Below are 12,541 nucleotides of genomic sequence, written 5' to 3'. Positions count from 1 at the left end.
TTTCAATAAGATGTTAATTGTAAAAGAAGCAATTAAAATGGCTTAAAGTAATCATTTAGACTTTCTATTTCTTCTTATTCCTCTTTATCTTCTCTTTCTTTCCTTTATCTTCACCTTTTGAATAATTCCTATCCAACAGTCATGAGGTCTGCCTGGGCAAGGAAGACTGGGTGGAATGCAGTGGCACTGTGGGGCCTAAAGTTGTATATTAAAGCCCAGTGAGGGTGAGAATGGCCTTCATTTGGGCATGGTGGCCGCCCAGCACCCAGTGTTGGATCCAACTGTGGTGATGAGGTTAGCCCCATGGATAGACAACCCAATATTGGTAGTCAGAATCCAAGAAGGGTGAGCAGGGTGTCTGTGCATGTGAAATGTAGTAGTAGCAGTGGCCTGACCTGAGGTGTTAGACAGAGTGGGCTAAGGAGCATGAATTCACAGAAGGGTGTTCTGAGGGTATTTTGTTGCCAGCTGGATGAGAAAAGTGTCCCCACAGGAGAGTGGTCTAGCATGTGGGGGGCAGGGGGCGGGGGGACAAAATGCCACCTTAGCTGATTTTGTTGCATTGGACTGAAATTAAAGATGTGATTGTGAACATGTGGTTTTAGTATACACGGGGACACACAGAAATAAATATTGGTATAAAGCTGCATCTCTCTCTATTTTTAAATATCTGTATCTATATCTATATATATATCCTATATACATCTTTAAATACATTAAATATATTAAATATATATGTCATATATTTCTGTCATACTCTGCTTGAGTAGTTACAACAAACTACCCCAGATTGGCTGACTTAAACAGGAAGAAATTATTTCTCACAGTTCTGGTGGCTGGGAAGTCCAAGATCAAGGCACCAGCAGATCCAGTGTCTGGTGAGGGGCTGCTTCCTTGTTTCCATATGATGCTCTTCTTACTGTGACCTCACATGACAGAGAGCAGAGAGAACACAATTGACCCTAGAACAACAAGGCGGAAAGGGGTGCTGATCCCCTGCACAGCACCCCTTCATATGCAGTTATATGAAAATCTGCATATAATTTTGACTGCCCAAGATCTTCAATACTAATAGCCTACTGTTGACCAGGAGCCTTACAGATAACATAAATAGCTGATTCCTGTGTATTTTGAATGTTATATGCATTATGTGTTATATTTTTACCATAAAGCAAGCTAGAAAAAAAGGTTGTTAAGAAAAGCATAGAGCCAGGTGCAGTGGCTCATGCCTGTAATCTCAGCACCTTGGGAGGCTGAGACAGGCAGATCACTTGAGGTCAGAAGTTTGAGATCAGCCTGGACAACATGGCAAAACCCCATCTCTGCTAAAAATACAAAAATTAGCCAGGCATGGTGGTACACACCTGTAATCCCAGCTACTCCAGAGGCTGAGGCAGGAGAACTGCTTGAACCTGGGAGGTGAAGGCTGTGAGCAGAGATTGTGCCACTGCACTTCAGCCTGGGTGACAGTGCAAGACTCAATCTGAAAAAAAAAAAAAAAAAAAGGAAGAAAATCATAAAGGGAAATGTACTTACTATTCATTAAGTGGAAGTAAATCATCATAAAGATGTAGACCTTCAACATCTGCATGGTAAGTAGGTTGAGAAAGAATAGGAAGAGGAGTGTGTTTGTCTTTCTGTCTCTGAAGTGGCAGAAACGAAGGAAAATTTGCATATAAGTAGACCTTGGCCAGTTCAAATCCGTGCTGTTCAAGTGCCAACTGTATATAAATGGTTTCTGAAATCGTTTCTATTTCATAGTTCTAAGGCCGAATTCCCTGTTCTCCCAGTAAATCTTAGTTTTGCTGTTAAGGCCTTTCAACTAATTAGACGAGACCCACTCACATTATCCAGGCTAATCTCCTATATGTAAAATCAACTAATAGTAAATATTAGTCATATCTTTAAAATATCTTCATAACAACATCTGGATTACTGTTGAACAAAACAACTGGACATCATAGCTTAGCCTCGATGACACATAAAATTAACCATTGCATATACTGACATTGGTCTGTTGGTTTTGATAGAAATGGTGTGATTATATAGACAGATGTCTTGGTTTGGAAATATGTACACATCAAAGTGTTTGGGAGTGTTTGGACATGATGTCAGCATCTTACTCACATGTGATCTGAGGGGGCAAAATGACTGTGCTGTACTCGCATATATCCTGTAAGTTTGCTATTGCTTCATATTTAAAAATTGAAAAAAATAAGACAAATGAAATAATCATTTGAGAGAGAGAGTGTGTGTGTGTGTGTGTGTGGCCTATTGCAAGTGTAAGTCCCATCCTGAGAAATATATAGTTATTCAAGCCTATATTCTGCAGTGGATTTGTTTATCATTTTATCCACTCTGAGCACTAAGATTGTGAGATCTGTTAAGAGTTGGGGGCCATACAGCCAGGACATTTAGCTCTACTATTTAATATAAAGATAACAAAAAATTACTTGAACAGAATTAAATTTATATTAGAGCAGGGGCATTCACTAGCACTGTATATTGAGAGAAGAAACTTCTAGAAAGCATCAAGAAGCCATGCTAACTTTTTCTGTGGTGCTAGTGCTTTCTCTGGCAGAGAGTGAGCTCACAGGCAAGCCCATAGTTTATTTGTTCATTCTTAGAGTATGAATATTTTCCACTTATATTAAGTCACGAACAGCCTCACCTCTGGAGTCAATATGTATAGCTCAGAGTTATACAAAACATTCTGAATTTCATTCGGAATTAATACTTGTTCCTATGATTTTGCCCCTCTCCTGGTCTATCCCTCCTGGAGCTCAGGTTGGTGCAGATGGGAAGCCCTGCAGCAGAAAAGGTGGACATGGCCAGCTTGCCTTCTTTGCTTTTCACACTGTTAGTTCCCCATCCACATGCACACACATCTCACCCTAAGTAACTGTGTTCTGACCTCTCCATGGCAGGAGCGAGGGGGTGTGCAGAACAATTGCAAAGGAGAGGAAAATAGGTTATTTTTGACATTTCTATAAACCTGGTGCTGCCCAGGCTGGTCAGAGTTTAAAGCTGACCCTTTTTGGTGTGGTGCTTTCTTGTTTCAGAAGAACCCCGTTGCTGAGAACTTTTACCCTGTGGAGGAGACATACAATCTGTCTGGCTTCTTAGGGTCCCTCTTGGTGATGTTGGTTCTCAGACCATTTCCACGCACTCTTGCTCTCAAGAAGTTTCATTGCATCTCCAGGAGGGTCTCTTGTGCAAACCACTTAAAGATGGCTCTAGAATGACTCATCTGCTTCTGCATCTCCCTTGCTCTCTCTCTATTCCACAAGAAACATCTGTCTATCACATAAGTGAAGCAAGTGTCATCTACTCTGGTGAAGCAAGCTGCTTCAGTTAGCTGCTCACTTGTGTGATTACTCCACTGTGACGCAGGCTTCAGTTCATTGGGTCCCGAAATTCCAGAGGACATAGACCAAGCTTTGCAATTAGTCCCATATATTTGAAGTGAGGACAGTCAGCATCTCTTTTCTTTTTCCATAAGAGAGGGGTAAGGAAAATCCAAAGATATTCCAACAGCTTTTTCTAAAGATATTCTCTCACCAAATGCAAATTCCCTGGCCATTATTCTTGGGCACTTTGAGTGGGTAACGAGTCAAGTATTTTAAAAGAACTTTTAAACTCCCTTGGTAGTGGTAGTAATTACTGACGTTTGCACAAAAATCTAGTTCTCCACCTCTCCCATAAAGTTCCTTCCCTCCATATCTTTCCACGCACATGGTAAAATTGCCCTCCCAGCTCTCTTACTGATTAGTGGAGTAACTAGGTGTAACTAGGTGTACCTAGTTCTAGCCAATGAGTTGTAAATAGAACTGACAAAAGTCACATATAGGCAGGAGCATGCAATACAGATGCAAAACCTACCAGGGCCCACTTTCTCTTTGGCATGACAACTGGCAATGTTCTAGACAAAGGACTTGCCTTCAGTTGAGATCTCAGAGTAGAGATGATGAAGAGAAAACCCCACCTAACTGGAAATACCAGACAACTTGAACAAGAAGGAATCCATTGCAGATGCACTACTGGAAGGCTGGGTCACTTTTTACTGCAGCATAACTTAATGAGCCCTAACTGATTTAGAATTTCTACAAATTCATCAAAGTGCCTCCCTTTGGGATGAGGGAGCCCTTATGTTGGTTTGTTTGCTTTCTCTCATTTTTGAGGTCTCTGCTAAAACTGAGGCAGAGTTCCATTTAGCATTCTTCAAGCACTTAAAATTGTGGTTGACAGCACTGCACAGATTCTGAAGACACAGTGCCTGGCTTCCAATCCTAACGAGATTGTGTAGTGGCTTTATGTCCTTGGACAAGATGTTTGACCACTCTGTGCTTCAGTTTTCTCATCTGCAAAACATGGATAATAGTAGTTCCTATCTCACGGGTTGTTATGAAGATGATTATACTTAACATTTTTAGTGGGTTTGGATTAGTGCCTGCCACATAGCAATCTTCTACATGCATGCTTACTAATAAGTGTGATATAGTTTTTAACGTCCATCTCTTTATCACTAGCAAGGTACAGCTGAAATGTCTCCAGCTTGCTGCTCTTTCTTCTCTTCAATGCTCATTGCTTCACTGAGGTGCTAAAGTCTGTCTCTGCCTGTCTGTGCTGAAAGGCCAGATCTTTGAGTCAGGGATTTATTATCCTTTGCTGTAGATTCTTAATTTCTCTATCATTTTTTTGCTTACAGTTCTAACATCAAATATTCCTTAGTTCTCTGATATGGTTTGGATATGTGTCCCCTCCAAATTTCATGTTGAAATGTAATCCCCCATGTTGGAGATGGGGACTGCTGGGGGGTATCTGAGTTGTTAGAGTGGATCCCCCATGAATGGCTTGGTGCCCTCCTCATGGTAGTAAGTGAATTCTTGCTCTGAGTTCATACAGTGGCTAGTGTTTAAAGGAGTCTAGTTCTTCTTCCTCTTCCTCTTGCTCTCTCTATCGCTGTATGATACATGGACTCCTGCCTCACCTTCTGCCATGATTTTAAGCTTCCTGAGACCTCATTAGAAGCCAAGTAGATGCTGGGGCCATGCTTGTACAGCCTTCAGAACCACGAGCCAAAATAAACCTCTTCTCTTTATAAATTATCCAGTCTCAGGTATCTCTTTACAGTGATGCAAATGAACTAACACAGTTCTCATCAAATCAATTTCTACAATTCTTGTTACTACAATTGCTACTTAGTTAGATCTACATAATGCAAAGCTATGGGAAGCTTCCTTGCTGTAGGCTCCACAAAACACCAGCGGCAGCTACTTTATTATGGGAATTGGACACATTTTTAAATTTGTGTTATTGTGTCTATGATCCACCATCACTTTGATTATAGGAGGGGTTAAATTGGTCTAGAATTCAGGGTGACAGGGGCACATGGAGCAACTTTCTGAATTCTGACAATTTGAATATAGCTTTCTTATTTTACTTTATTGAAATTACTACTATTGTTGAAATAGCAACTCTCTGCACAATGCTATGACACATGTTCTCTTGCTATATCTAACTTGTGTTTTTACCATTTAACTGTTTCATGGTTATCGTTAAGTAGGCAAGGTAGGCCTGGCTCTAGTATTCTGGAATTGGGTGATTAGATCATAGGAGATGACAGTATGTGAACTAGTGAGAAAATATACACCTCTTCTTATGTATGGTTCTTCTGTTTTAGATAAAGTATGTTATTTGTTGTTTTTATGTATTTTACAATTCTATTTTTACTATAATAATTCCCAAGCTGGGTGCAGAGGCTCACGCCTGTAATCTCAGCACTTTGGGAGGCCAAGGCAGGAGGGTTGCTTGAAGGCAGGAGTTCAAAACCAGCCTGGACAACATGGTAAGACCCCGTCTCTACAAAACAATACAAAAAAAAATTAGCTGGGCATGGTGGCATGCACCTGTGGTCCCAGCTACTTGGGAGGTTGAGGTGGGAGTATCACTTGAGCCCTGGAAGTAGAGGCTGCAGTGAGTTAAGATCATGCCACTGCACTCCAGCCTGGGTGACAGAGTGAGATCCTGTCTCAGAAAAAATAAATAAATAAGTAACTCATAGAATCTTATAATTATAATATTGTACTGGATAATAAATTATAAGCAATTTTACAGTGATGCAGGAGAAATATAATTTTTATGTGAATTATTAAAATATCTTTCTCTTTCATAGAAACTTAATAGAAATGTTTCTGTGAAATCTAAGATAACCTTGGAATGAGTCTATTCTCTTAGAGTATATGTTCTCCTTGGACATTTATTAGGGACTCTAACATTTTATTCTGCTGTAAATTTTAGTTGCTATCCTATTCTTTACAACCAACTTTTCAAAGTTTAATGTCAGTTCCTAATTTGACTTTAAACTTGGCAAGTTTCTGAGTCTATGTGATATAATACGAGTTTCAACTTCCCTCATTAATCTTTTCTGCTTTTGTTGAATTCCTTTGGGAAGCAACAAAGACAACAGGGATAAGCTGGCATAAATCGTAATTGTTATTTGTAGGAAGAAGATGTGCTGAGATTCTTGCTGAAAATGTGCTCTCTATAATCCTCAAGTGAAGAACAGTGTAGAAAAATACATGTGGAGGAGACAAATTTCTCCTTGAAATAGTTTGTTAAAGTCATTGGTTTATATTAATATGTCTTTTGAATATAACAATTATTCTATCTAATATTATTTAATGCATATAATCAAAGAAAAATAAGCAATAGAGCTGTGTTTCATTCAAATTTTTCAGCATGGAGTTTGAATTTTCCAAGCTAAAAACTTGGGATTTTGAAAGAAGTAAGATCCCAGTTTGGGTTGTGTACCCTGAAACTCACAATAGATCAGAATCACATGAACTTATACCTGGGATTTTTTTTAAGAAATAATTTTATATTTTATAAGAAATAAGAATGAAGACCTTAGATTGAGAATAGATATTGTCAGAAATGTTACATTTTGTCTACAAAATGTTATATACATAGCGTATACATCATGTGAAATTGATTTATTAAAACAAAGTACATCAGTATTCAACAGGAACCTTATTCTAAGATTGCATTATGTTTTATGATACAAAAGTTTTATTCTATTTTTAAATAAACCTTGCCCTTATTTTAATGCAGTAAATTAGGAGAATTTTTTAACCAAGATCGAAGAATTCAGAAAAGTTTCCTTCAGTAGACTTTCTTAAATATCTTTGGGGAAAGTTGAGTAGACTTAAGAGCATTCCAAACCTTTAGGAAGAATATGGTCTGATTTGATTTCTTCCTTGAGTTACTATAAATGTATCTTTAGAAACCACTGCCTGTCTTTCCAGAGACCATCAATTTCATCCCTCTGGTATGCTCTCAACTTCATATCCTGCCCTCAATATTAGATGTTAATTACATCCCAGATAATGTACTAGGTATTTGGTTGCTGTTCCAAAGACTCTGAAGTAGGTACTATCATTATCTTTCATTTTTTTTAAACTGATGAAGACAGTTGAGAGGCTACATAATTTCACCAAAGTGTCAAAGTTAATAGTGAATCAAATATTCAAGTTCAGATACGATTGTTGTCAAAATCTAGGCCCTTTTAACTGCTTTACAATTCTCTCATCTAAAAGTTCAGTCTCATTTTAATGCACTGTTTGCATAAAATCAGAACTGTCCAAATAACACAACTTGGACACCTTAACATGCCTTCAAGTCTATTTCATGTTTTTTAAATTAAGGAAATCATCATTGTCCTTTATCTTTCACTGTTTTAATTTACGTAATCTTCTCTCCTTGCACCATTCGGCTCTTCAAAAAACTTACAAGATTGCACCATACACCCTATGAACTAATTTCCTTTTGTTATCCACAGGTTCTGATGAAACCACTTGTAACTTTCAGCCTGGTTGCCTAGCTTTGCTACAGAAAGTTGAGGTCCAGTCACTTTGGGTACAGGGTACAGATGAAGAAGGAGCACCCCCAGGAGGCTACAGTGTGAAGGCAGTTCATTGCTAATGCTATGAATCTTGAAGCAGTAGGTACGAATTTTAGAGGGAAGCTCCTCCTTGTGAGATTCATTGCTTCCAGGGGGAGGTTCTGCATACCCACCTGAGCAATGATTATTATTTCAAGCCCCATTTTCACATAAAGAAATTCAGGCTTATTTAGGGTCATTTAACTGGTATATGGCAATACTGAAATTCGATATCAGAATATCAGTTGTTTCTAAATTGGAATAAATTGCAAATAGCTTCTCATGACATAGAAGACATGTAAAAACAAGGAATAATTCAAGATCCAGAGGACATGAGACAGTGGCTGAGGCAGTAGTCTTGCTCTCCCAGTATAGATCATCAAAACTATGACAATGGATAAATGACAAAAAGTAAACTCCCACCTGTGACTTGCTCATGTATTTACCTTAGTACTGTCACTTGTATGATTATTACTCATAAATAGCTTCATGATGGTGGAATTGTTGTAGAGAACTGAAAGAATAATAAATATATTATTATTTATTTTTCTAGGAATCAAAAACATGTTTAATTGGATTACATGTATGGAAACAAACAGCTTTTCAAAAAGAGATGAAACTGTCTTTTTCAAACTTTAAGTTCAAGCAATTACCTTTGCAATTACATGTACACGTTTTTATTTGTTTATATATATAAAATAGCTATTCATGTGAAATCTACATCCTGTGGAGTGACTGCAGGTGCTTAATTGTTGCCCATAAGCAAACCATTACTGCACTATAACTCTGTTATAGTACACAGAGAAAATACTATGAGTAGAAATGGCTTTTAAATAAAGTTTTACACCCTATTTTGCAAACAATTCCCCCTCCATCTTAAATAAATGTATTTCACTGAATGCTGCTGTTTTTATTTAATGGACCAAACAGATATTGGAAAGTGCAGCTGTTGTACTTCACTTGCCATATCTGGTTAAAAGTCATGAAGCGTATCGGAATTTGCTACCCCCAAATATGCCTCTTTAGCATACGGATTATTTTGAGTTAAAAACCAGAGAGAACCAGCAGATGAAGGAAAAGCCTTAAAATTAGGGCACAAGTTTTCCTTTTGTAAAAGAAATTTTCGTTTGTAGAGATACAAGTTTTCCTTTTGTAAAGGACATTTTTATTTGTAGAGATACTTCTCTCTCATGCCAGGAAGAGAAGAATTTTTAACAACTCATCAATAGATAAGGCACAGACTTAAATCTGCAAAACAAACCATATGCAGATTTCCACTTTTCCTGGTCACCTTCTCATAACTTGCCTCTCCCTTCCAGAAATCCCAAACTCCTTTTCCTTTGTTTTAGCCTAAGATGATATGTAAACCCAGGTTCTAACCACCCCACTGGTTTTCGCTTCACTGGGTGCCCCCGTGTGTATATGTGCAATGCACATGTTAGTAAACATGTTTTTTCTCTCATTAACCTGTCTTTGGCCCGTCTAATTTATTGAGACCCATCTAGAGAGTCTAAGATAAGTAATTTTTTTTTTTCCTCTCCTATACTCAACAAAACAGGAAGAATCCACATTCTACTTCCCCGTTTTCATATGCAGGAGTACAGAATGAACTATTAATACACAAATGGATTGATTGTGAGTATGAATCATACATATGCTAATTATTTATTAGGTAATGCTTGGGATGGTAATATAGTATTTCTTGAAATACCTACAATCCTTTTGGTGGCATAACTCATCATATTCTCTCTGTTCAAAACAGTTAAGCTACTATTATGTCCTTAAGCTCACTTGTAAGTATACGAGAGGAAAAAAATCTCTTTCTCTAACTACCCTGGGTTTATGGCTAAGCTCACTATAGCAAAAAATCAATTAATAAAGAAAAACATACAAATTTATTTAATAAATTTGATGTGACATGAACACCTTCATAAAGAAATGAAGACCTGAGGAAACGGCTAAACCTCTGTATTTCCATGTCAGGTTTGATGAAGAGTGGACAGGACAGTCATGGAGAAATGTGAAAGAACAAAGCGGGTTTAAGTTGATGGTCATTACTGAGGGAAACTTAGCAAGGCCTGTTAGTCCAGAATCTTCGCTGTGACCTTTTGTCTTCAGAGATAAAGATATTCCCTTCCTCTAGGTATCGTGTGCGGTATATGTGACCGTCTCATATGAGGGTCTTATATGAGGGTCTCATGACCTGTCTCCAGGGGAAGATTAGAAAATCCTTCCTAGGTTTTATGACCTACTTCAGGGAAGAAGGGCAGGGGAAGATTATGGAGACTGTCTGGCTTCTGCTGATTTTCAATATACTGAGGTGGCATATTTTGGGGTTGTGTTCCCTGAATCCCATCATTAGATATTTAGGCTTTAATCTCTCTCTCTCCTTCCACCCCAACATCTAGGCAGAGGTAATGTTACCGGGTGGTCCTTGCTCCCAGAGCTCCCAAGATGGTGGCGGGCCACTTCCAAAAATGGTGGTGGGCCGCTTCCAAGATGGTGGCAAGCCTCCTGTTCTCTGACCTGGGCCTCTTGGCCTCACAGATTCCAAGGAATGGAATCTTGGGCCACACGGTGAGTGTTATAGCTCTATTAGAAGCCGTGGGTCACAGAAGAGAACCGTGGAACCCAGTGACTAGTGTTCAGCTCCGTAAGGATGAATCCGGGCACTTAGCCATGCAGGAACAATGGCAAGCCTTTAGCCTGATCGGGAGTGGCACTGGGCGCCTCACTGGATCAGGAGCACAGCAGACACCCTGCCGGATCCAGAGGGATGGAAGTCAGCGGTGGGTCTGCCACTGCGCAAACAGCAGTGGTGGATGGCGAGCAAAAGCTCAGCTGGAACCATAACAAACACGGACCAAAAGAGAGCACAGTTGCAAGATTTAATAGAGTGAAGACAGAGCTCCCATACAAAGGGAGGGGACCCAAAGAGGGTAGCCCTTGCCTATTCGGATGCCTGGGTTTATATCCTGATCATTGTCCCTCCTGCTGTGCTCTCAGGCAATAGATGATTGGCTATTTCTTTACCTCCTGTTTTTCCCTAATTAGCATTTTAGTGAGCTCTCTTTCCTACCTGATTGGTCGGGTGTGAGTTAAGTTGCGAGTCCCGTGTTTAAAGGTGGATGTGGTCACCTTCCCTGCTAGGCTTAGGGATTCTTAGTTGGCCTAGGAAATCCAGCTAGTCCTTTCTCTCAGTAACAGGGGTCAGCCATTTACTGATAATCATCTGAAATAGATTTTGTATGTACAAAATATACAAAAATAGATTTTGTATATTTTCTATTATCTTTGGGTATTTTAATTGACAGTAATATAGAGACAGGGAAGAAAGAGTAAGAAAGACTAGGAAGAAGTTAATATCTAAAACTTGCTGTTTTACTAAAGATGTCACTACTGTACCTTCCCACCAAAAGAATTATAAAATCCTTCATTTATTTGTTTTTCCTTTTTGAAGCTAAGGTGATTGTTAATATTTTTAGGCCAAAATGAGTGTCCAACTGCAAAACATTTAGATTTTTTGCTTTCTTTGCTCTCAATCTTCTTTTTTTAATTTTAATTTTTTTAATTTTATTTTTCCCTAAGTTATTGGGGTACAGGTGATATTTGGTTACACGAGTAAGTTCTTCATTGGTGAATTGTGAGATCCTGGTGCACCCATCACCTGAGCAATATACGCTGCACCATATTTGTTGTCTTTTAACCCTCTCACCCCTTCCACTCTTCCTGCTAAGTCCCCAAAGTCCATTGTATCATTCTTATGCTTTTGCGTCCTCATAGTTTAGCTCCCATGTATCGGTGAGAACATACAATGTTTGGTTTTCCATTCCTGAGTTACTTAACTTAGAATAACAGTCTCCAATCTCATTCAGGCCATTGCAAATGTTGTTAATTTATTCCTTTGTATGGCTGAGTAGTATTCTAATATATATATATATCATATATGATATATATCATATCGTATATCATATATCATATATGATATATATGTCATATATATGATATCATATATATCATATAGATATATATATATATCACAGTTTCTTTATCCACTCGTTGATTGATGGCATTTGGGTTGGTTCCATGATTTTGCAATTGTGAATTGTGCTGCTATAAATATGCGTGTGCAAGTATCTTTTTCGAATAATGACTTCTTTTCCTCTGGGTAGATACCCAGTAGTGAGACTGCTGGATCAAGTGGTAGTTCTACTTCTAGTTCTTCAAGGAATCTCCACACTGTTTTCCATAGCGGCTATACTAGTTTACATCCCCACCAGCAGTGTAGAAGTGTTCCCTGATTGCTGCATCCATGCCAACATCTACTATTTTTGATTCTTTGATTATGGCCATTCTTGCAGGAGTAAGGTGTAAGGAGTAAGGAGTAAGGTGGTATCGCGTTGTGGTTTTGATTTGCATTTCCCAGATCATTAGTGATGTTGAGGATTTTTTTTTAATGTTTCTTGGCCATTTCTAAATCTTCTTTTGAGAATTGTCTATTTATGTCCTTAGCCCACTTTTTGATGGGGTTGTTTGTTTCTTTTCTTACTGATTTGAGTTTTTATTATTTCTCTACCCCTTTCGAAAACCTGTATACTA

At 38.5% G+C, this 12,541-nt stretch overlaps 1 annotated feature.

Annotated features, from left to right (window-relative positions):
- Nucleotides 1,030–1,285: a silencer, noted in NCBI's record as "fragment chr14:84461408-84461663 (GRCh37/hg19 assembly coordinates)". NCBI's record gives its function as "represses an EF-1alpha promoter that drives an FKBP-Casp9 reporter gene in an ReSE screen in HepG2 liver carcinoma cells {active_cell/tissue: HepG2}" and the evidence as "EXISTENCE:reporter gene assay evidence [ECO:0000049][PMID:32094911]".

The sequence above is a fragment of the Homo sapiens genome, chromosome 14 (genome assembly GCF_000001405.40).
Source record: "Homo sapiens chromosome 14, GRCh38.p14 Primary Assembly".
Classification (NCBI taxonomy): domain Eukaryota; kingdom Metazoa; phylum Chordata; class Mammalia; order Primates; family Hominidae; genus Homo; species Homo sapiens.
This window is presented reverse-complemented; position numbering and strand designations above follow the sequence as displayed.